This window comes from Homo sapiens, chromosome 9 (genome assembly GCF_000001405.40).
Source record: "Homo sapiens chromosome 9, GRCh38.p14 Primary Assembly".
Lineage (NCBI taxonomy): Eukaryota > Metazoa > Chordata > Mammalia > Primates > Hominidae > Homo > Homo sapiens.
Window position 1 is genome coordinate 40,561,949 of NC_000009.12, and position 25,539 is coordinate 40,587,487.

At 43.4% G+C, this 25,539-nt stretch overlaps 1 long non-coding RNA gene and 2 pseudogenes across 8 annotated transcripts in view; 2 read left to right on the plus strand and 1 right to left on the minus strand.

Moving 5' to 3' along the window:
• LOC102724580 (methylenetetrahydrofolate dehydrogenase (NADP+ dependent) 1 like pseudogene) overlaps positions 1 to 16,546 on the plus strand; it is a 78,514-nt pseudogene extending 61,968 nt beyond the window's left edge. Inside the window, exon 4 of the transcript NR_136300.1 lies at positions 14,628 to 16,546. The product of NR_136300.1 is annotated as a methylenetetrahydrofolate dehydrogenase (NADP+ dependent) 1 like pseudogene (transcript). The remainder of the gene's footprint in view (positions 1 to 14,627) is intronic.
• Positions 12,967 to 22,264, minus strand: BMS1P14 (BMS1 pseudogene 14; annotated as a pseudogene). 2 transcript variants are annotated; one of them, NR_170873.1, is made up of 4 exons: positions 22,170 to 22,264; positions 17,051 to 17,120; positions 16,236 to 16,407; positions 12,967 to 13,211 (listed from the first exon to the last, which is right to left on the minus strand). The product of NR_170873.1 is annotated as a BMS1 pseudogene 14, transcript variant 2 (transcript). The 2 variants fall into 2 exon arrangements; NR_170872.1 differs by lacking the exon at positions 22,170 to 22,264 and adding an exon at positions 13,296 to 13,484 and having other exon boundaries at positions 17,051 to 17,135.
• The window catches only part of LOC107984006 (uncharacterized), a 52,131-nt gene continuing 48,834 nt past the window's right edge, over positions 22,243 to 25,539 (plus strand). For 2 of the 5 annotated variants that reach the window (XR_007061501.1, XR_007061502.1), the window contains exons 1-2: positions 22,556 to 22,833; positions 24,562 to 24,732. This is a non-coding gene — a long non-coding RNA (uncharacterized LOC107984006). Of the gene's footprint in view, positions 22,834 to 23,273; positions 23,424 to 24,561; positions 24,733 to 25,539 lie in introns of those variants that run through there. The other 3 variants (XR_007061503.1, XR_929656.4, XR_929655.3) reach the window with 2 other exon arrangements.

Here is a 25,539-nt window from a genome sequence, read left to right on the forward strand (position 1 = left end):
GAATTCTCGGAAACTTCTTTGTGATGTGTGCATTCAACTCAGAGAGTTGAACCTTTCTTTTGATAGAGCAGGTTTGAAATACTTTTTTGTAGAATCTGCAAGTGGACATTTGCAGCGCTTTGAGGCCAATGGTAGAAAAGGAAATAACTTCACATAAAAACTAGACAGAAGCATTCTCAGAAACTTCTTTGTGATGTTTGCATTCAACTCACAGATTTGAACATACCTTATCATAGAGCAGTTTTGAAACACTCTTTTAGTAGACTTCGTAAGGGGATATTTGGACCGCTCTGAGGCCTTCACTGGGAACAGGAATACCTTCACATAAAGACTAGACAGAAGCATTCTCTGAAACCTCTTAGTGATGTGTGCATTCAACTCACAGAGTTGAATTTTTCTTTTGATAGAGCAGGTTTGAAACACTCTTTTTGTAGAATCTGCAAGTGGATATTTGGATAGCTTTGAGGATTTCGTTGGAAACGGGAATATCTTCAATTAAAAACTATACAGAAGCATTCTCAGAAACTTCTTTGTGATGTGTGCATTCAACTCACAGAGTTGAATCTTTCTTTTGATAGAGCAGATTGGAACCACTTTTGTTGTAGTATTTGCAAGTGGATGTTTGGACAGCTTTGAGGCCTTCGTTGGAAACGGGTATCCCTTCACATAAAAACTACACAGAAGCATTCTCAGAAACTTCTTTGTGGTGCTTGCAATCAACTCACTGAGTTGAACATTCCTTTTCATAGAGTAGTTTTGAAACACTTTTTTTGTAGAATCTGTAAGTGGAAACTTGGAGCGCTTTGAGGCCTATGGTGAAAAACGAAATATCTTCCCATAAAAACTAGACAGAAGAACTCTCAGAAACTTCTTTGTGATGTGTGTACTCAATTAACAGAGTTGAACTTTTCTTTTGATAGAGCTGTTTTGAAACACACTTTTTGTAAAATCTGCAAGTGCATATTTGGATATCTTTGAGGATTTCATTGGAAACGGGATTATCTTCACATAAAAACCAGACAGAAGCATTCTCAGAAACCACTTTGTGATGTTTGCATTCAACTCTCAGAGTTGAACATTCCTTTTCATACAGAAGTTCTGAAACACTCTTTTTTTTGTATCTGGTAGTGGACATTTGGAGCGCTTTGAGGCCTATGGTAAAAAACGAAATATCCTCACATAAAAATGAGACAGAAGCATTCTCAGAAACTTCTTTGTCATGTGTGTACTCAACTCACAGAGTTTAACCTTTCTTTTGATACAGCACGTTTGAAACACTCCTTTTTAGAATCTGCAAGTGGATATTTAGATAGCTTTGAGGCTTTCGTTGTAAAGGGGAATATCTTCACGTAAAAACTAGACAGAAGCATTCTCAGAAACTTCTTTGTTATCTTTGCATTCCACTCACAGAGTTGAACATTCCCTTTCATAGAGCAGTTTTGAAACTCTCTTTTTGTGAAATCTGCATGTGGACATTTGGAGCGATTTGAGACCTATGGTGAAAAACGAAATATCTTCACCTAAAAAGTGGACGGAAGGATTCTCAGAAACTACTTTGTGACGTGTTTACTCAACTTACAGAGTTAAACCTTTCCTTTGAAAAGGCAGTTTTGAAAAACTGTTTTTGTAGACTTTACCAGTGGATATTAGGACAGCTTTGAGTATTTCAGTGGAAACGGGAATAACTTCACATAGAAACTAGAGAGAAGCATTCTCAGAAACTTCTTTGTGATGCTTGCATTCAACTCACTGAGTTGAACATTCCTTTTCATAGAGCAGTTTGGAAACACAATTTTTGTAGTATATGGAAGTGGAAACTTGGAGCGCTTTGAGGCCTATGGTGAGAAAGGAAATATCTTCCATAAAAACTAGACAGAAGAATTCTCAGAAACTTCTTTGTGATGTGTGTACTCAACTCACAGAGTTGAACTTTTCTTTTGATAGAGCAGTTTTGAAACACACTTTTTGTAGAATCTGCAAGTGGATATACGGATAGCTTTGAGGATTTTGTTGGAAACAGGAATATCTTCACATAAAAACAAGAGAGAAGCATTCTCAGAAACCTCTTTGTGATGTGTGTACTCAACTCACAGAGTTTAACATTTCTTTTGATACACCAGTTTGAAACAGTCTTTTTGTAGTATCTACAAGTGGATATTTGGATAGCTTGGCAGCTTTCATTGGAAACGGGAATATCTTCACATAAAAACTAGACAGAAGCATTCTCAGAAACTTCTTTTTGGTGCTTGCAATCAACTCAGTGAGTTGAATATTCCTTTTCACAGAGCAGTTTTAAGACACTCTTTTTGTCGAATCTGCAAATGGAAACTCGGAGGGCGTTGAGGACTATTGTGAAAAAGGAAATATCTTCCCATAAAAACTAGACAGAAGAATTCTCAGAATCTTCCTTGTGATGTGTGTACTGAACTCACAGAGTTGAACCTTTCCTTTGATACAGCAGTTTTGAAACACTCTTTTTGTAGAATCTGCAAGTGGATATTTGGATAGCTTTGAGGTTTTCGTTAGAAACGGGAATATCTTCAGATAAAATCTAGACAGAAGCATTATCAGAAACGTCTTTGTGATGTTTGCATTCAAGTCACAAAGTTGAACATTCGCTTTCATAGAGCAGGTTTGAAACACTCTTTTTGTAGTATCTGCAACTGGACATTTGGAGCGCTTTGTGGCCTATGGTGAAAAAGGAAATATCTTCCCATAAAAACTAGACAGAAGCATTCTCAGAAACTTGTTTGTGATGTGTGTACTCAACTGACAGAGTTGAACCTTTCTTTTGATAGAGCAGTTTTGAAACACTCTTTTTGTAGAATCTGCAAGTGTATATTTGGATAGCTTTGAGGATTTCATTGGAAACAGGAATATCTTCATATAAAATCTAGACAGAAGCATTCTCAGAAACATCTCTGTGATGTTTGCATTCAAGTTACAGAGTTGAACATTCCCTTTCATAGAGCAGATTTGAAACACTCTTTTTGTAGTATCTGGAAGTGCACATTTGGAGCGCATTGAGGCCTAAGGTGAAAAAGGAAATATCTTCCCATAAAAACTAGACAGAAGCATTCTCAGAAACTTGTTTAGGATGTGTGTACTCAACTAACAGAGTTGAAACTTTCTTTTGATAGAGCAAAACAGTAAATTGAAGTTTAAAATAATTGTAACAATTGCATCTTATATATCAGGTGAGATTTCATAGTTTGGTTCAAGTAGTTTTCAAGTGACAAATTTTCAAGTTTTTAAGTTTTCAAGAGTTGTGCAAGTTCATCAGCCAGAAATCAAGAAAAGTCTAGATAAGTAGCAGCAGGTGCAGGATTCTTGATATTGAAACTTTTAGGACTTTTCTCCTTCAGGATTCCAATGTTGTACATTTTATTTCCAGTATAACCCCTATGCATAGGATAAAGTAGTTTCACATGTTTGATTTTTCTAATTAGTTATTTGGGTTTCAAAATGTCCAGTTTATCAAAAAATCTTGTGCTGTGTACTGGGGACCATCTACTATAGCCTGATCATTGAATTTTTTCAAGAACCTAAGGGGTTCCCTAAGTCCAAGGAAGACAATCAGTGTCTACAAGTCAGGAGGAGAAGGGGAAAGGGCATTCTAATCATTGCTTTGTTTTCATTGATTCTGTTGCTGCTTTCTTGCCATTGAAACTACTCTTGCAGTCTGGTAATGATTAACCTTTGCCACCAGGATGCCCTTTCTGTTTGAGATCCCTCAAACTTCATGTTGATCCATAAAAAGGCTTCAAAGTTACAACTATTTTTTTTAGTTCCCAGACTAACAAAAATAATCTAGCTTTTTGTCTTGACTACCAACCACTCTGGATTTTTTTTTTTTTTTTTTTTTGAGATGGAGTCTCGCCCTGTCGCCCAGGCTAGAGTGCAGTGGCGTGATCTTGGCTCACATAACCTCCACCTCCCAGGTTCAAGCAATTCTCCTATCTCAGCCTCCGAAGTATCTGGGACTACAGGCACACACCACCACGCCCGGCTAATTTTTGTATTTTCAGTAGAGATGGGGTTTCACCATGTTGGTCATGCTGCTCTTGAACTCCTGACCTCAGGTGATGCATCTGCCTTGGCCTCCCAAAGTGCTAGGATTACAGGCATGAGCCACCATGCCCGGCCCACTCTGGATTTAAGGACAGTTCTTCCTTCAATCAGCAGCCAAAGAGTCCTGATTCCTGATTCTAATTAAGAAGTTTAACTTGGTATTCTATTTCTGATGGAAGGATGGCTGAAAGAAGGGAGACTCAAACAACAGATGAAGGCAAAATACTCTGTACTGAATTTTCAATGTAATCTTAAATTCTATGTTTAATTGAGATGACCCAAATTCTTTTTTTTTTTTTTTTTTTGATACGCAGTCTCGCTCTGTTGCCCAGGCTAAAGTGCAGTGGCATGATCTCGGCTCACTGCAACCTCCACCTCCCGGGTTCACACCATTCTCCTGCCTCAGCCTCCCAAGTAGCAGGGACTACAGGCACCCGCCACCACACCTGGCTAACTTTTTGTATTTTTAGTGGAGACTGAGATGACCCAAATTCTTAACTGCCTCATAAATACTGTTAATATATTGAAAGTTTTGCCCTAGGCTTTTATTAAAGTCAACTATATAGAAAAAGTTTCTCCTATCTTGAGATGTATTATTAAAGACATCATCCCCAATAATATTCCATATTCTCTGTTTAGGAACCCCAATTGTTTTCAAATTCAAGAATTCAGAGAAATCTACTTGTTACAAAAGAGTAGAATGGATAATGGGCACCACATCCTGAAGTGTATTTTAATAAAAATTCATGTAAGATGGTTCAAAATTTCATTAACTACTTTATATAAAAAGAAATGCCTGGGAGAATTCTGTTTCTAGCAGAGTGGCAGACTGATGCCTTGAACAACCCTCCTATTACAAAACTGAATACTCCACATGAAAACAAATCTTTTCAAATGCATTGTTAAGCTGTGAAGAGAATAACGAAAGTTCTAAGAAACCAAAATCTAAATGAAAACACAAGTCCAGGCAGGCACTGAAAACCTAAAAAAAAAAAAAAAAAAAAAAACTGAAGAGGCCAATTGTTGGCAAGCATGTGGAACAGCAGGAACTCTTCAAGCTGCTGCTGGTGGCGGAGGCCAAGCCACTGTGCTCCCAGAACACAACACAGAAGCCTCCACACTGAAGCAGAACACAGGTGCCCTGGAGTCTCCACCCCACCCCGGGATCCTCCAGCAGAAGTGGGTGTGCCCCTGCATACCTGCAAGTCCCATATGCAGACCTACTGTTCAGGGCCGTGGGATAACAGCCAAAAATAGGAAATCATTTTACTCATCAATGGAAAAATGGTGACACAGTCATATAATGGAACTCAACAATGACGATAAATCAATGTCTGCCATAGACAAGAACATGGATGTGTTCTGTAATACTGAACCAAAGAAGCCAGGCTAAATAGAATGTGCTGTATTTTATAGAAGTCAAAACCAGGCAGAACAAATCTACATCAGGAACTGGGAAAGTAGCTATTTTGTGGGTTGGGGCAGCAGTGCCTGGGAGAGGCCACAGGTCAAGGCTACTGCTTGGTCCAGGGCGTGGCAGCCTGGTGTGCTACAGTTCATCTAGATGCACACTTATGATTCGGGCACTCTTCTGTATGTACATTAACATTTCAATAAAAAGCTTATTAAAACATTAAAGCTTTCAGAAAAATCCACATTGCTTTAGTAGAAATTAGCACATTAACGTTTAAAAAATACATGTATATGGTGGGGGAAAAAATAGTTCAAAAGAGTATCCAGTGAAAAGTTTAAGAGGGAGTGATGCCAGCTAAGGGCTGATCAATAGCCCCTTGCACTCATCCCCTGACAAAGACAGCCAAAGCAGCAAACAGCTATATTTTGATGAAAGTCACTAAAGGAGAGCCCCAGAGTGCATCAAGGAGTAGCAGAAATCCAGTAGAGCCCGGAAAACAGGACGGTCACGTAAAGGAGGGAAGGAAACATCTGGCCCCCACCACCCATTCCCCCAGAGGGATCAGCCTGAAGCAGAGGGGATGTCTCCCTGCAGGGATAAGGAAGCAAGAGGGGCCCAGTAGCCCCAGCACTCCCCTCAGAGAAGGAACTGACATTGTGCCCCACCCCCATGGACCAGCTGCTGCTGCAACGTGCCCTCCTGGACCTGGACCACTTCGGGAGCATGTCCCACCCAGGGTGAGCAGCCACCGCACCCTTCTTCCATCCTCAGGCTTTGTTGCTCTATATCACACCCACCTAGTGGCCCACCACCCCCGAGCCGCTGTTACACTGTCTTAGGCCATTTAGTGTGGCTGTAACAGAATACTTGAGACTCGGGGTAACTTATTCTATAAAAAAGGTTTATTTGGCTCACCCTGCTTGTGTCTGAAAAGTCCGAGATCAGGCAGCACAACTGGTGAGGGTCTTGTGCTGCTTCATCTCATGGGGAAAGTGGAAGACGAAACAGGTGTATGCAAGGGGCTCACATGGCAAGAGAGGAAACACAAGAGTCTAGGAAGCTGAACTCACTCTGATAACAATCCACTCCTGGTAACTAATCCAGTTCCATGAAAAGGCATTAATCTATTCATAAAGGATCTGCCCTGTGACCCAAATAACTCCCACTAGGCCCCACCTCCCACACCACCACATTTGGAATCAAATTTCAAATGGATGAAATTTCAAATGGCTGGTGGGAACAAATGATGTCCACATCACAGCATACACCCCACCTGCGGGGCCACGCTGCTGTGCCCCTCCCCTCCCAGCTGCCATTGTGCCCTGCCCCTTGGAGCCTGAGCTGACTTGGTGCCCTGCTTTCCAGGGAATCAGTGTCTTGGCCAGTCTAAGCAGTCACACCCCCCACTGCACGAGAGCTGAAGCACTGCCCTGCTTCACAGGGAATCAGTGTCTTGGCTGAGCTGAGCAGCCACACCTGCCAGGGATGAGCCAACATGGCACCCCCATATCCCAGGAAAACGGCATTGGCTGAACTGGGGTACCTTGCCCTTCAGGACAAACAACTGTAGAACCCTGCTTCCTTGGAACTGGACTAGCCCTGGAGAATCTGAGTTGCCCAGGCACCTGCCTCCCCAGGGAGAGAAGTAGTTGCTGTACTGGTCCCTGCCCCCGAGGGCCCAAGCCACAGTAGTGCTCCACCATTCTGGGGTCCTTGCTGATGCTGTGCCTGGCCTTTCACAGACTGAGATGCTGCTGTGTCCCACCACTGCAGGGTCCAGAGTCACTATCATGTCACTCCCATGTCCAGAGTCACTCCCATCCCCTGGGAGTTTACTTCTTAAACTCTTTGCAAAAACAGAGTGAGAGAAAATAATTCCAAACACATTTTACCAGGCCAGTATCACCTTAATACCTAAGCCAAACCAAAACACACACACACACACACACACACACACAAACACACACACACACACACACGCACACACCAAACAAAAACTACAGGTCAACTTCTCCAATAAATTAAATACTGATGCAAACATCCTAAAAAAATTTTAGCAAATAGAATTCAACAACACATCAAAAACATTATACATCGTGTTTAAGTGGGATTTATCCCTGGCATGCAAGGCTGGTTTAAAATATGTAAATCAATCAATGTGATATATCACATTAACAAAATGAAAGATAAAATGACATGGTCACCTCAATTGATGCAGTAAAAGCATTTAACAAAGTTTAGCAACATTTCTTGATAAAACCTCTTAATAGTTTATGTATAGAAGGAAAGTTCCTCAACATAATAAACACCATTTATGAAAAACCCACAGTCTAATCATAGTTAGTGGGGAACAACTAAAGCTTTTCCACTAAGATTGAGTACAAGATAGGGATGGCCAGCCTCATCACTTTTATTCAATAGAGTACTTGCAAGAGCAATCAGATGAGAAAAAAAAGGCAACTAAATTAAAGAAGTAAAATTATCTCTATTTGCAGATGACAAGATCCTTTACGTAAAAAACTCCAAAGAGTCCACAAAAAACTGTGAGAACTACTAAATCAATTCAGTTAAGCTGCAAGGTATAAACTCAACATATAAAAATCAGTTGCATTTCTGTATACAAATAACCTAGCTGATGAAGCAATCAAGAAAATAATCTCATTTACGATAGCATCAAAGAAAAACAAAAACTTAGGAATAAATTTAACCAAGAAGGTGAGAGATGTGTACACTTAAAAACCATAAAACATTGATGAAAGAAATCTAGACATGAACAAATGGAAAGACATCCTATGTTTATGGATCAGAAGAATTAATATTGTTAAAATGTTCACACTACCCAAAGCAAATATACAGATTTAACACAATCCTCATCAAAGTTCTGATGACATTCTTCACAGAACAGAATAAAACAATCCTGGCCAGGCACAGTGGCTCACGCCTGTAATTCCAGCACTTTGGGAGACTGCAGCGGGTGGATCATGAGGTCAGGAGTTGGAGACGAGCCCGGCCAACATAGTGAAACCCTGTCTCTACTAAAACTACAAAAATTGGCCGGGCATAGTGGCATGTGCCTGTAGTCCCAGCTACCTGGGAGGCTGAGGCAGAAGAATTGCTTGAATCCAGGAGGCAGAGGTTTTAGTGAGCCGAGATTATGCCACTGCACTCCAGCTTGGGTGACAGAGTGAGACTTCACCTCAAAAAAAAAAAAAAAAAAAAAAAAGAAAAGAAAAGAAAAAACAATCCTGAAACTCCTATGGAACCACAAAAAACCCCAAACAGCCAACAGATAACTGTGAAAGAAAAAGTTGGAGGCATCACACCTCTTGATTTAAAATTGTATTACAAAGCTATAGTAATCAAAACAGTATGGTGCTGGCATAAAAACAAAAAAATAGACCAATGGAACGTAACAGAGACCTTTGAAATAAATCCAAACATATACTGTCAACTAATTTTTGACAAGGGCAAACAAGACAACACAATGGTAAAAAAGATAGTCTCTTCAATAATAGGATTTTCACATGCAAAAGAATAAAATTGGACCCTGATCATACACCATACACAAAAATCAACTCAAAACAGATACAAGACCAAAGACCCAGACCTGAAACCATAAAACTCCTAGAAGAAAACATAGGGGGAAAGCCTCTTGACATTGGCCTTAGCAATAATTTTTTGGATGTCGCACCACAAGCCAGGCTACAAATGTAAACATAAACAAGGAGGACTGCATCAAACTAAAAAGCTTCTGCACAGCAAAGGAACAACCAACAAAATGAAAGGGGAACCTACAGACTGGAAGAAATATTTGCAAACCACATATCTGATAAAGTGTTAATATCCAAAAATCAGTAAAGAACTCTTACAACTTAAGAGCAGAAAAACAACCCAGTTGAAAAATGGGCCAAATAGGAAATGACCAATAGGAAATGGGGAGATGTACATTAAAATAATACAAAGTAGCAGACATGTAGGATGAACAAGTTAGAGATCTAGTGTACATCATGAGGGCAATAGTTAATAAAAATATATTGTCTTTGGGATTTTTGTTAAATAAGTAGATTTTAGCTGTTCCTGTCACACATACAAAAATCTAACTATGTGAGATGGTAGCTATGTTAATTTGCTTCACTATAGTAACCAGTTTACTATCTATATGTATCCTTTAAGATCATGTTGTCAACCTCAAATATATAAAATAAAATTTATTTTAAAAAAGAAAAGTTTTCCTTCAATCCAGAAAGAACCACTATTACCATTTTTTGGTGTTCCATTCCAAAATATCCCACAAATATACAATTGTTCAATCAAATTTAACATTAGACTTTATACTTGAACATTCAAAGTATGTAAGAAATTATAGAAAAGTGTCTGTGTGACTCACTGTCTGTAGAGCACAGGCTTCATCTCCACTAACACACACACGACCAGTACCTTATACAGAGAGTCCTTGTTTGTCTTTAGTCTGACACCATGGGCGAGCCTGAGTTGGCCCGTGGTCCACATTCCTGACCAGGTGTCTTTCTCACCCACTGGTTTCAACAAAGATGTTACTGGGTTATAGAAGGCTGGGATGGAAACAGGATACCAAGTTCGCATGAAGACAATATCTGAAAAGAGGTAATTTACTTTAACGTTTTCAAAAGAAGATTCATATCCATATTGTGAAGAAACAAAGAACAAAATCTTCACTCCAAACTTCTCTACCTGGCTGCAAAGTATTTGAAGGGAAAGCTCGCTAAGGAAACTATTCTCATAGATCACAGAACTGTTACTGGGTGTGGCCAGGGGACTGCAGACACAAGGCAAATGGGCACACTGCATAAGACTGGGAGATCTAAGGCTGGAGCTGCTCAACTCTCTGGAGACCTGACTCCAGCCTCTCGTCACACTGGCTAGAAGTCAAGCATGAATGGTAACACCCTGCCCTGAACACTACTTAAGACACTCACCGCTCATCCGCAGCTTATCCTCAAAGCTATCCTGGAAAGCTCCTTCTGGAGCTCAGAGTGCTCTCTTGATCTGCCCCCTTATCCCACTGACAGTTCGAATCACAGCATCTTCAAATTTGGCCACTTCCAAGGCAGAATTAAACATTCCCTACAGGTATAGCAAGATAAAAACACACACACACACAAAATCATATACTTTATGCTTTACTTCTTACTTCAAACATACATCCGTGATTAAAGAACAAAAACAACTCACTGAAGGGTGATAAAATAATCAAAATGTATTTGCCCCTGAAAGTGGAATTACTACCTCAAAAAGAATACAACTCTTTCATTTTCCCCAAAATAATCATGTGAGTTCATGGGCATGCTCATCACTGCTGTCTGTGTGGAAGAGAAGATCGAAGAGGGATTTACTGGACTGAATTGGCCTAGGAAGCCTTTGCTGGCATCTCTCAGACTGGACTGCAGCCCAGATCCTTTTACTCAGATGCATGCACTTAGAACATGAAAACAGTAAGATAAACGCCAGTGGTATTATTACCTTATATTGCAAGAACATTTTATGACTTCCTAACACTGTTTTCAATAGAAACATCCCCACTAATGAAATTGTCAATAAATGCTGCTCAAACCACCCTCCCAAAATACCAAAAAACAGTACATCTGTTTCTCTGTACCCTTGCCAAGTTGTCTGCAAATGCTTTGTCGATTTTTCTACTGAGTTAGACAAACTTGTGATTTTTTTCCCTTTCTTAACACCAATTTAAAAAGTAGGAAACAAAACCTAGTGGATAAAATGACATATTTTCAATATGAGTTCTGTGGCAGTCTCACATGGAAGTCAGGAGTAACAGCCTCAATTCCTAAATAGCTGTTTACCACTGCTTTTTTGAGCACATTTAAGTAATACAGAATATAAAGGAGCAAACAAAATATGAAGTTTATAAAAGATTTCAAACACTTTTCTAAAAATAAGAGGCCCACATTTTAGAGGTATTTCATTCCTTTTCTCAAACAATATGGACATTTATAAATATGAGAATATATAGATATACAGACCTTAATAAATGAAGTGTTCTTGAAAATTTTATATGGAAAACCAGTTAGCTTTAATTTCTTCACAACTTTTATGGATTTATCCAGATCAAGGACAACTCCTGTGGCAGCTATCCGAAAATCAGGCTAACAGGAGCCCCAAAATTTGAAAATAGGAATAATATTAGCAAGAGAAAAACTTCAATTCTATAAATTACCAAAGTGAATTTTACTTACAATTAGTTAAGAAAAACAAGAGAGACCATCTGAACTTGCAACCCATTGGTTTGACAAAAGCAATCCAAAACTTTAAAGTTGGTAAGCCAAACTAACAAGGGTGACTTGAGGCCAGGCACAGTGGCTCATACCTGTAATCCCAGCATTTTGGGAGGCCAAGGCAGGTGGATCACCTGAGGTCAGAAGTTTGAAACCAGTCTGGCCAACATGGCGAAATTCCGTCTCTACTAAAAATACAAAAATTAGCTCGGCATGATGGTGCATACCTGTAATCCCAGCTACTCGGGAGGCCGAGGCAGGAGAACCGCTTAAACCCAGGAGGCAGAGGTCGCAGCGAGCCAAGATCATGCCACTGCACTCCAGCCTGGAAGACAGAGTGTGACTCGGTCTCAAAAAAAAAAAAAAAAAAAAAGAAAGAAAGAAAAAAAAAGGCTACTTGAGTACTTTCCTGAGAGTGATTTCAGAGGAATGTAATTTTACTATAATGATTTATTTGGAACGAAATGGAAAAGAAAAATACAGTTGCAATGTTTAGGAAATTAAAATTTGGACCTCCAGGGAAGATTCCATCTGCTCATTATTCTGCTTTCTTCTCTGTTAAATGGGACCAGTAAACCCTGCCCTGCCTGACTGGTCAAATGAAAATGGAGTGAACAGACTGCTACCCCAGCACAGCTGCAGGGAGTCTTGTGTCTGGGTGGTCTCTGACGGCTCCTCATAACCTCATATAGTGCTTAGCACATGGTGAGCACTGCTTAAATACTTGCTTGGATAAATAAATGCAAAAGATGCATAAAAATAGGAAATGTACCATTATAATTCTTCCACCTCCCCTCCTCTAATCCCACACCCTACTGAAAAGGATGTACGAAGATTAAAAGCAAAGGGAAATTTACTTTATATTAATAAAAATGAGTAATTTTCAACTTAAAGTCTCATGTACATAATAACCCACATTCAGGATATATTTCTCAAACCAATCTGTAAAAGAAATCGTCCAAGATAGTTACCATTATGCCACTGACAGACTGTATTGCCAAGAAACCAGTTCCCTGTGGAGTGATAGGGTCTTAAAGGAAAAGGAAAAAAAGAAATATAGCAAACCAGAAATTTTAGATTCTAGTTTAACATACTGGATATGGACACTTAGATTTGGATATAGATGTACATATATACTCCAAACCACCTCCCCGCTCCCAGAAAAGAGAAACATCTTAGGAGTGGAATTTTATGAAAGGAAAAGCACAAAGCTAAAATAACACAGCCTGTAAAGTTTAATCTCGGCAATAGGCAAGTTATTGTAATCATATTTTACCCCAAAAGGCTGCTCCACAATGGATGTGCTGTGGCGTATACTTTAGAAGCCTTTGTCTTCCATTGTGGTCTTCGATATAATAGAGCAGGATGGTCTGAAACCTCCTCCACCCTACAGAAAATATGATTGGATCTTGGGACTTGAGGATTTTCTTATACCAGCGATGTTTCTTCAGACGCATCTGAGGGGGATGAGAGGGTAAGATGATCGATGGAGGGGAAATCCACAGAGCCTCAGGCACCAAATACACAGCAAAGGGACCCACCTGCACGTGTCCAACATTTCCTTCACTGTTGCCCAAGCCACCCAGGATAATGGGGTAATGGGGGTCAAAGTTCTGCACAAATTCACAGGGAACATTTTCAATCTCAACGCGGACATACATCCCAGGTCGAAAACCCTCATACTGAACTCTGGCTTCATCATCTTGATCTTCAAATTCTACGTGATTCAGCTGTACATGATGGGGTGGGGGGGGGAAACCTGTATGCTGTTATTTGTAATAAACATAGGATTAACATGAACAAATGAGCAATTTCTAAGTAAAGGAACTGTGGACAGAATTATGTAGGCTTTATCCTATTAAAAATACTACACATTTGGCCGGGTACAGTGGCTCATGCCTGTAATCCAGCACTTTGGGAGGCCGAGGCGGGCAGATCACATGAGGTCAGGAGTTTGAAACCAGCCTCGCCAACATGGTGAAACCCTGTCTCTACTAAAAATACCAAAATCAGCTGGGCATGGTGGTGCGTGCCTGTAGTCCCAACTACTCAGGAGGCAGAGGTGAGAGAATCGCTTGAACCTGGGAGACGGAGGTTGCAGTGAGTCAAGATCATGCCACTGCACTCCAGCCTGGGCAATAGAGCGAGATTCCATCTCAAAAAACAAAAAAAACAAAAAAAAACCCTACACATTTTACCTCTACAGTCTGTTCAGAATATGTCCCAACCATTTTCTTCTCTCCTGCTCCAAGGGACAGCAAATGTAGATAACTGTGGAGCCCTGCGTGCTCAAACATTAGAAACATCCCCAGTCCACACTTTCTTTCCTTCCTCTCCAAATAATTCTTTCACACTTTTCCCTTGTCTTCAAACACCCACCACCACCCTCACCTTCACTCAGCTGATGGCTGTTTCCTGATTCACTCCAAAACCAAAAGAACCTCTACGGTCAACCCTATACCAGGGTTTCCTCCCATATCCAGCCTTATCAGAGCTCTGACCTGCCCCATAGAGGAGCTATGTGTGGCTATTTAAATTAAAATTAATTACAATTACATAATATTTAAAATGCAGTTCCTCGATCACACTAGTCACACTGGAAGTGGTCCGTATCAACCTGTGGCCAGTGTTACAATATTGGGAAGCACAGATGTGCATCTCCATGATCACAGAAAGTTCTACGGGCAGCTCAGGCACAGATGATTTGTCCATGCCTCTACTCAGGGCCACACATCACTTGCTCACTAGACACCATCCACTCTTCCTGGACTTTATTCCAACAGCTCTTCCCTCTGTTCTCTCTCTCATCTCAAAACCTTTTGATTCCACTTCTTCCACCAAAAACTGCTTCATTTCTCTGCTTCTCTCTGCAGCAAAACCCCACAAAAGTTTTCCACAGTTGCAGCCTCCAGTTCCTCTGCTCCCATTCTCCTACATCCATGAAAATTGGTGCTTGCCAAGATCGCTGAAGGCCTCCACGCTGAAGGACTCCTCCGGTGATCAACTCTGCCTTTACCATAGTTAACACTGCAGCGGGATCTGAACAGTGTTTCGCCTCCGTGTACAACTGGACTCCTGCGTGCCTGCAGGCTCACACTGCTTCTCCCTCTCCCTCCTAGGCACTGCTCAGGCCTCACGGCCGCAATCGCCCCATCTCGCCCATGCCAGTCTTGCTCCTCCCAGTCACTCTGCACTCACTCCCCGGCCACCTCACAGAGTTAAGTGGCATCTACATGCTGAGGGCTGTACATCTAAGTCCCTGGCCAGACCTGTCTCTCCAGACTTGACACTCCGCTTGTCTGCATGATACCCAGCCGAAACAAACATCATCTTCCCAAAACTGCATCTGCAGACAGTTTCCTATCTAACCTGCAACAACCCATCCTTCCAGGAACTTCCAGTCGCCATCCTCATTTCCTCACACACCCCACATTCAGTCCACCAGGAAATCCTACTGACCCAGCTTCCAAATAAACTCTATCCGGGTTTGACTCTTTGTCTCATCTCCACTGCCAGCCCTCTGGTTTGTGCCACCGGACTGATCTCTACCGGACTGATGTCTTGGCAGAGTGATCTGATTACCTGAATGTCTCTCCTCTGCTCAAAACCCTCCAAGGACTCCCATTTCAGAGTGAAACATTCAGTCTCTTCCAATGGCCCACAAGGCTCTAGGTAATTTTAAATTGTAAATGGTGTGAAGCAGAAACTTCAGAGTTAGCCTAGTCATGCCTTTCAAAGGTCAACACAGACTAGCAACCACTAAGCTAATGCCTAATCAGGAAACAGTCCTTTGACTAGATGAAGATCTAGGATGAAACTCCGTTTCACAAATCATATACCTAATCTGTTCCAGCTTACACAGGCACTCCTGGTCTCACTAACAAGACGCAACTCAGATGCTCACCATCAACTGTACACACGTTTCTGTGTCTGTCTCCTTCAGAGTGAGATCACCGCCTCCAGCAACCTGCTCAGCACCCCCAGGCAGGAGGGCCACACCATCTCCCTTTATCTCCGCATCTGACCTTATACTCCACATGTCCTTCTGAACTCTGACCAGGATGAGTTTTCAGAGCACTTCCCCTGGGAGCTCTGCTGTGTCCATAAGCCACACGGGCCACTGATCACCTGCCATTCAAATCAGGGAGCAGCGATCGGAATAGGCAGCATTGGCTTGCACTGAAATAAACACACTGTCTCAGATCACTACATTGTAAAAGTCTCAAAAGTAGAGACCATGTCTCAGTCACTTCGGTTTCCTAATTCTTGTTACAAAACAGGTATGGATCTTTTTCTGGTGATCTTCTGACTGTAGAAACAATGAGCTCACTGCATGAATAAATACACTCACATGCATCTACCCAGGAGTCCAAATGAAAGGCACAGAAGCAGGATAGGAAGCAGGGACCCAAAGAAAGTCAGGGATTCCTGCACTATGTGATAGTCTTGACAAGGGGCTGAGAGGAACTGAGGTTTCTCACCTGTGCTTCTTTCTGCATTTCTCCTTTAAGATCATCAAAATATGTGCTTTCTCCTTCATCATATTCTGCATCAAACATCTCCTTCAATTTTCTCTTCTTATCCAAATGCTTTTTCTTGGCACTTTCTTCTTCGTCAGGGTCAATTTCTTCCTTGTTTCTCTATATCTTCATTCTTAAATTTCCAGAAGAAAAAATTTTGTGTATGTTTATGAAGGTCTTTTCTTTAAACATTACATTTTTTAAAGTTCTATTTAAACAAAAATCTTAGCAAAAATCTGTTATCATTATCAATAAAACAAAACAAAACACAACATAACCTTTGTCTCTGAATAACATGGTACTGCTACAGGAAATTGTTACATCTGCATTACAATTAGCTGCTATTCCTTAAGCTGGCTGGGAACACAAACTAGAATAAAAATAACAGACATCTCCCTCACCCAGATGCTCCCAGACCCTGTTCTAAAGAAATATTAGGGAGAACAGGGACTTCATTCTTTTAAATGACACTTAAATTTAAAAAGAGGAGAATGATGGCAATGGTTGAATGTAAGTCTGAGAAGCTAAGACTTCTGTGAGTGAAAAATCACAGTGGTCTTGGCAAATGACTATGGCAAGAAACGGTAGTAACTGTCGTCCAAAACTTAATAAGTAAACAAGAAAGCTTCTCTTTGGTCCCCACATCCCCACCCTTTAGGAAGGAATCTATCCATCCAGTCTGCAATCTTCACACATCACAAGTAAGATTTGCATTTCTCAATGTGGGCCTCTCAGAACACAATGACCAAGAACAGCCAGCTACGACAAAGTCATACCTGAGTGTCGGGGCCCGATTTTCCCTTGTGCACGTCCCGTTTCCAAGTCTTCAAAATCACCGTAGAGCTCCTCCAGGAAAAGAACACCCAAAGGCTGCTCTGTGAGCCAGGCATGCATGTGCTGCTGGCCCCACCCACGACAGGCCCACAATGCACTCCGCGTTCCAAGCCTCATTCTTACTGTTCCCGTCACTAGACACACAGGCAAAACTTTGCACTAGGGAATGCTTCGTAAAACAGTTAGTATTTCATCATCTGTTTAGGTAAACTAAATGGACCCAATCCACATTTCCGCACTTCATGTCAAAAATCCCAATCTCAATTTTTCCAGTATAGATAATGGACACTCTTTTGTTTTTGTTTTTTTTTATTTTTGAGACGGAGTCTCACTCTGTCACTCAAGCTGGAGTGCAGTGGCACGATCTCAGCTCACTGCAACCTCTGCCTCCCAGGTTCAAGCAATTCTACTGCCTCAGTCTCCCGAGTAGCTGGGATTATAGGCACCCACCACCAGGCCTGGCTAATTTTTGTATTTTTAGTAGAGATGGGATTTCACCATATTGGCCAGGCTGGTGTCGAACTCCTGACCTCGTGATCTGCCCTCCTCAGCCTCCCAAAGTGCTGGGATTACAGGCATGAGACACTGCAACCGGCCAATGGACACTTTTTATGAAAGACACAGAGGTCTATCTGTGTCCCCCAAATGAATAATTCAAAGAGTGAATGGAAAAGTCCCATGCTGATAACCAGCACACGTGAAAAGGACTCTCAATGTAAGTTCAGCACAACACAATCATGTAACACACCTAGGGGAAATTTTAGATCATATAAAACATAGCATTTAGATTAAGAGTAGAGCCCCAAACCACACCAAACCCATGGGAAGAGCTTATTCACTCATTCATTCCTTCATTTGTTTTTGGAGCTCTGGGTTCAATTATAGTTCCCACTCTTAAAAGAAATAGACAAGTAAGGCTGGGTGCAGTGGCTCACACCTGTAAACCCAGCACTTTGGGGGCCCGGGAGGCAGAGGTTGCAGTGAGCCATAATTGTGTCACTGAACTCCAGCCTGGGTGACAAAGTGAGACCCTGTCTCAAAAAAAGGAAAACAAAAGAAAGAGGCAAGTTAAAACTCATTTGGGAGAGCAATGTTTAGAAGGCTATTAAAACATTTTCACATAAGGGCCAAAGAACCAGGTAGATGTTTTAAAAGATAGGAAGCTCCTATTTGTAATAAAAGCAAAAAAGGATAAAATAGGAATAAACCTAACAAGAAGTGCACCAGAACTTTATTTATTTAAAAAAGAAGAAAAGCTTTAATATGCTACCAAAGGACAAAAGGAATAGCATCACTACCGACACTCGTAAGTGCTCTCCACACCAGGCACTGTGTTAAGTACTTTCCTTGCCTTAACCACATTCTTCAACCCAAGGAAGTAGGTGTTGTAAATATTATATACTGAATAATGGTATGTCCTCATTTGAAAAGGAAGACTCGACATCACAAATACGCCAATTCTCCCTTTAGCACAGTTACAACCCGAAACCACCACTAAGGATTTCTGGTCTAAAGAAGATAACACATTATACCCTCCTAAGAAATGTAACCCAAACTCTAGAAATAATAGACAGGAGATGATCAATGGAGAATCCCGAAAGGTGGACAGAAAAAGGCTGCTGAGGGACTCTAGGACTAGGGAATGCATAGTGTCCAGGTGTCTCCCTGGACCTCATCCAATAGGAAGGTGACCCAAGCCCAGAGTTTCCCAACTCCCAACGTAGCAATAGAAGGCAACCCAGGCAGACTCAGTCCCCGCAGATCAAAGGAGATCTTCCCCACAACAAGAAAACCAGCTCCACACACCAAGACAACCACCATTCCCCACCCACCTAGCTGCAGCAGGTGGCCCAGCCTGGGGCAGCTCCCCTGTTCCCTCAGGTGGGCAACAGCAGGGACTGGTGGGAGAATCCCAGTGATACATATTAGCCAAACAGACCAAAATAACACCATGAAGCCTCTGAAATTAAATTGCCATTGGAATCACAGCCCACAAAGTAGACCAAGACCTACAGACTAAACCTAAACAGGAGGACTGCCTGCAAAAATAAAAAAAAATTACATAGGCAGATGTTGGAACCACCTGACTCATCACTTATAACAGTCAGTATAAAAATGCTTCAACAAGCAACTACAAATCCTATGGCAACAATCAAAGAACTGAAAACGTCAGCAAAGAAACTGAAGAAGAATCAAATGGAAATTACACAAATATAAAATACAGTAACAGAAATATAAAAAAAATCTAACTGGATAGGCTCTATTGAGTAAAAGTGGAGACGACAGAGGAGAGAATCAGAGAAGCTGAAACCTGATCAACAGAATTCACCCAGTCTAAACAACAGAGAGAAAATAACCTGAAAACAAATGAACAGAGCTGCACGGACCTGTGGGACGATAACAAAAGACCCCGCATTTATGTTATCTGAGTCCCACAGGAGACCAGAGCTGCGAAAGCATGCAAATAACTAATTCCTGAGGCTTCCCACATTTGGTGAAAGATATAAACTTACAGATTCAAGAAGCTGAGCAAACCTCAAAGTATCCCAAAAGAAAGCAACACTGATTAAACTTTCAAAACTAAAAACAAAGAGCAAAAATGGCAGAATGCCTGTAGGGACATGCCAACTCAAATGCCATGGAGGCCAGAAGGAAGTGGCACAACATTTTCAAGTGCTTAAAAAAAAAACAACCAAACGAAAAAACCGTTGGCTGCAAATTCTATATCCCATGAAACTACCCTTCAGAAATGAAGAGAGAAATAAAGACATTCTCAGAGGAAGAAAATATAGGAATTTGTCACTGGTCAATTTAGAAATGCTAAAAAGTGGCTACAGAAATATGTTCTGTCATTTCCACAATACAAAAAATTAAAACAAACAAATCAAAATAAAAAAATGGCTACAGAAAGTTCTTATGCAGCAGGGATGAATATGGGACTATGGGAGGGGGGACAAAGGAAAGACCAGAAATGTGGATACATACACGAGACAATCCACAGTTCTTAAAATCACATTTGACCACTGAAACAAAAACTATACCACCACGTACTACTCAAGCCAGTGATTTATACAAGTGGAAAAGGTAAAGAGACATAAATGCAAGGCAGGTTTCCACACTTTGAAGTGGTAAATACTGGTGCCAGTAGACTACTATATTACAATACACATATTGTAACATCCAGAGCAAACACTTTAAGACTATACAAAGAGATACACGCAACAACATTATACAGAAATAGATCAAGATGGAGGGAAAGAAAACGGAAACAAAAAAGCAAATAATAAAAACATCAGACATAAGCAATTATGTAACAATAAGCACCTTAAATGTAAATGGTCTAAATAAACCAAAAGACAGATTGATGGAGAGCCTATAATAAACACATGGTCCAACTAAATACTGTTCATAAGAAACTTCAAACTCACTTAAGGACCTAAGTAGGTTGAAAGTAAAAGAATGGAGAAAGATATCCTGTGAAATCATTAATTTTTTAAGGAAGCAGGAGTGAATATATTAATATCTCATGAAGTAGACTTCAAGCAAAATAATTTACCAGAGCTGGAGAGGATCTTCACTGAATTTTAAGATCTAAAATTTCCTATGCTGCCTTGACATCTTTGAGCCTCACAGGGCCCCAAAGGCCTAGCCGTGGGTTTTCCTGTTTCTACCAGACACCCCCTACCCCGCCGCCCAACAGGAAAGGCTCCCCACCTGGCTAGTTCTTTTATCAGCCAGAACAGTTGCACCTCAGCCTAAGAAGTTTCACTTCACCTGTCTGCCAGCCCATGAATTTATTCAAACAAGCCAATTGCTCTCCCCCTCGGGAACCATTGGTCATTGTGTGCTCTTGTTACTACCAAGCCTGCCTGCTTCCTCAGCCCGCAGCCCTCACTCCGCTACAGAGTGCGGTGCCCATCTGACCCTGTGTGGCATGCAGTGTCCTCCTCTGAGCTGTGGGTATATGTGACTAAAACACTGCTGTCAATCTCATCCATCCACGCCAGGTGTCGTGTTCAGCCATCTCCTACACTTTAGGGCAGGGACCCCTTCTTCACCAATGGGGTGAAAAGGAAGTGACCATAACAACTGCTTAGTGACAAAAGGATTAACCCACCAAGAAGACATCTACTTCAACATCCTCCTCTTAGCAACTATTAAAACTAGGCAGAGGCCGGGCACAGCGGCTCATGCCTGTAATCCCAGAACTCTGGGAGGCAAAGACAAAGGATAGCTTGAGGCCAGGAGTTCGAGCCTGGGCAACATAGCAAGGCCTCATCTCTCCAAAAAATTTTAAATTTAGCCAGGTGTGCCGGCACACACCTATAGTACCAGCTACTCAGGAGGTTAAGCCAGGGGAAGTACTTGACCTAGGAAGTCAAGGCTGCAGTGAGTCATGTTCGTGCCACCGCACTCCAGTGTAAGTGACAGAGTGAAACTAGGCAGAAAAGGAGCAAGGATTGACAAAAGATCTGAACAGTCAACCAGCAAAATGTGACATCCGTATAACACCCCACTCCCCAACAGCAAAACACACACATTTTTAAAGCCAATAGAAATCTACCAAGATGAAGTACACTTGGGGCAATAAAAGAAATCACAGCAAATCTTGCTGTGCGCCCCTCTGCCCTGGCGCCGGCGCCGTGCCCCTCTCTGCGCCTTCTTTTCTCACCATGGGGAAGCGTTTGGGGGCCTCTTGAGGGACCCCCTAGATGCTTCTACTCAGAGCCCCCAAAGCCGGGGAGCCTCCACTCCTCTGTCTGCAGCCTCCCCTGTCGGTTCTCGCTACCCAGGGTTCAGTGGCCTGGGGGCTGATGGAGGTGGTCGCCTCTGCCAAGGACCCTCCCGGCACCTCCCTGGCTCATCCAGCCCACCTTCCTCCCACGCTGGCTCACGCAAAGTGCTCTGGTCACCAGGAGCCCTTCCTGACCAGCCCCGGCCCCTTCTTGGCCTTCGCCCACCTGGCCTCCCCTGGAGCCCTGACCTGGGTGCCGGGCCTGCTGGGTCCAGAGCCCACCCCGCCCTGAACAACCCCGAGTCTCAGCCACCCTCAGCTCTTACCCTTTCACAGCTGGGGAGTGGAGCCTGGGCCTGCGCCTCTCCGCGCCTGCGCCGCCGCTGTGCGCCTCGCCGCCGCTGTGCGCCTCTCCGCCCCTGTGCGCCTCTCCGCCGCTGTGCGCCTCTCCGCCGCTGTCCGCCTCTCCGCCGCTGTCCGCCTCTCCGCCGCTGTCCGCCTCTCCGCCGCGCCGCCGCCGCCCGCCTCGCCGCCGCCGCCCGCCTCGCCGCCGCCGCCCGCCTCTCCGCCGCGCCGCCGCCGCCCGCCTCTCCGCCGCGCCGCCGCCGCCCGCCTCTCCGCCGCGCCGCCGCCGCCGCCCGCCTCTCCGCCGCGCCGCCGCCGCCCGCCTCTCCGCCGCGCCGCCGCCGCCCGCCTCTCCGCCGCGCCGCCGCCGACCGCCTCTCCGCCGCTGTCCGCTTCTCCGCCACGCCGGCACCGGCGCTGTGTGCCTTTGCAAGGGCGGAGCTGCGTTCTCCTCGGCACAGACCCGGAGAGCATTGCGAGGGCGGAGCTGCGTTCTGCTCTGCATAGACCTTGGGGCACTGCCTCGCTTTGGGACAACTCGGGGCCGCATCGACGGTGAATAAAATCCTTCCTGTTTGCAGCCATGTTTGTGGTTGGTGGCAGCGATGGACACTGCAGCCAGCCAGAGTGTAGAAAGGCATTGGGGTAAGTGCGCCATCCAGGCTGCACTGCTGGTGGCCTGGGACGGTTTGGGAGCCCTATCTCAGGCGTCACTGCCCGTCTTGGGTGGTTGGTTGGGTGTGCTATCTGGGGCTGTGCTGCCTGCACCGGGGGCGGGGGGCGGTTTGGGGGCTCAAACCGGGGCTGCACTGCCTTTGGCGGGGAGCCGGTTGGGGGCACTATCCCAGACTGTATTGCTGGCAACAGTGAGGTGGGTTAAGTGTGCTATCTGGGGCTGCACTGTGCGGCTGTGGGGGGGGATGGCGGTTTTGGGTTGAGGGCGCTATGGGCTGCTGTAATGCCCATGGTGCGGGGAGGCGGGGCGGTTAGGGTATGTTGGGTGTGCTATTTGCGGGGGGCGACACTGCTGGTGGTAGGGGGCAGGGTGGGTTGGGGGCCATATCAGGGGCTGCACTGATTGCTTTAGCTAGGATTTCTGGTACTATGTTAAACAACAGTGGTGACAGGGGGCATCCTTATCATGTTCCAGATCTTAGAGGAAAAGCTTTCCATTTTTCCCCATTCCATATGATTCTAGCTGTGGGTGTCTTTCCTGTAGTTTTTATTATGTTGCGGTATGTTTCTTCTGTGCCTGTTTCTTTGAGGATTTATAGCATGAAGGGATGTTGAATTTCATCACATGCTTTTTTGGTTTCAGTTGACATGATCATACGGTTTTTGTCGTTTATTTGGTTGATATGATGTATCACATTGTATGTTGAGTGACTCTTGCATTCCAGGGATACATCCCAGTTGATCATGATGAATTATCTTTTTAATGTATTACTGAATTTGATTCACTGGTATTCTGTTGAGGATTTTTGCATCAATATTAGAGATCCTGTCCTGTAGTTTTCTTCTTTGATGCTTTTATCTGATTTTCGTATCACAGTAATAATGGTCTCATAGAATAAGTTTGGAAGTATTCCCTCCTGTTTTTCAAAATAATTTGAGCAGGATTTGTACTAGGTCTTTAAATTGTTTGGTGTGAAGCCATCAGCAGTGAAGACATCATCAGTTCCTGGGCTTTTCTTTACTGGGAGACTTTTTCTGATGTCTTCAATCTCATTACTTGTTACCAATCTGTTCTGGTCTTGGATGTTTTCATTGTTTAACCTAAGTAGGTTGTATGCATCTAGGAATTTGCCAATTTCTACTAGGCTTTCCAATTTATTGGCATATAATAGCCAGTTATGATCCTTTGAATTTCTGAAGTATTAGTTGTAATGTCTCCTTTTTTTAATCTGTTGATTTTATTTATTTGAATCTTGTCTCTTTTCTTAGGCTGGTTAAAAGTTTGTCAATTTTGTTTAGCTTTCCAGAAAACCAACTTTTCGTTTAATCTTGTGTGTTTTTTATTTCAATTTTGTTTCTGCTACGATCTTATTTATTTTCTTATTTTCGGTTTAGTTTGTTCTTACTTTACTAGTTCTTTAAGATGTATTGTTTATTTGAAGTTTTTCTTTTGTTTGGATGGTAGGCACTTATAGCTGTAAATCTCTGCCTTTGTACTGCTTTCTGCGTAACAAGTTTTGGTATACTGTGTTTTCATTACCCTTTGTTTCATGAAATTTTTGAATTTCTGTCTTAGTATCTTCATTGACCTTTATTTATTCAGGTCATTTATTCAGGAGGGTAGTGTTTAACTTCCATGTGATTGTATTGTTTCCAAAATTACTTTTCTTATTGATACCTAGTTTTATTTCTTTGTAGTGAAAGAAGATTGCCACGGAGACAGACAGCAGCATGGTCAGTGTGGTAGGAGCCGGCCATCAGCGAGAGCTGCTCCATGCCTGGCTGCTGGGAGCTAGAGCCTGCGGCCCACTGGCTTGCCTCACTGTAGTTGGTGGTGGCAGTGACAGAGACTGCAGCATGACCAGAGTGGTAGGACAGGGGCTATCCAGGGCTGCACCTTTCGCAGTGTGGGGTGGGTTGGGGGCACTATCCAGGGTGTCATTGCCTGCATTAGGGGTACTGGTTGGTAGCACTGCACAGGGCTGCACTGCCCACAGCAGGGAGGGTGGGTTATGGGTGCTTTCTGGGGCTGCAATGCCCATGGAGGAGGACAGGTTAGGGCATGTCGGGTATATGCTACTGGCGGCATTGGGGGACGGAGGTGGGGGGCGCTATTGAGGGCAGGACTAGCAGTGGAGCGGGGGCGAGTTCGGTGCTATCAGGGGCTGCACTGCTGGCGGCAGTCAACAGAGTTGGCATCCAAGGAAGGAGTGGTTCTCCTCTCCCTGACTCCACACTCCAGAGGGCGAACCACTCTTGGTCATACTGGAGTGCGGCAGGGCACGCAGCGTTTGCATGGGAATCCTGAGCATGGCAGAGTCCCCACACCCACCGTGGTTCCTGGGCCTGTGCACTCTGGGTCTGTGCCTCAGAGGCTGCCAGGCACCCCTGGGGACACCACGGGGAACAGGGCCCTGTGTGTGGAGGCATCCGGAACAGGAATTGGCACCTGGGTGCGGAGGGCTGGCTGGGTCTGAATTTTTCTGCTTCTCCTGTTCCCCGAGGAGTGCAGCCCCGGTGGGCCCAGTGGTTCCTGTGGAGTGGGGAGCTGGGTGCTGTGGTGTCTCCAGCACCCACCCCAGACCCCAGTTCCCGGCCAGCTTGGGCCAAAAGGAGAGGCTGGACTTTGGAGGGTGGGTGTGAGTGCCTTTGCTGAAACTGGCCCCTGCCACCCAG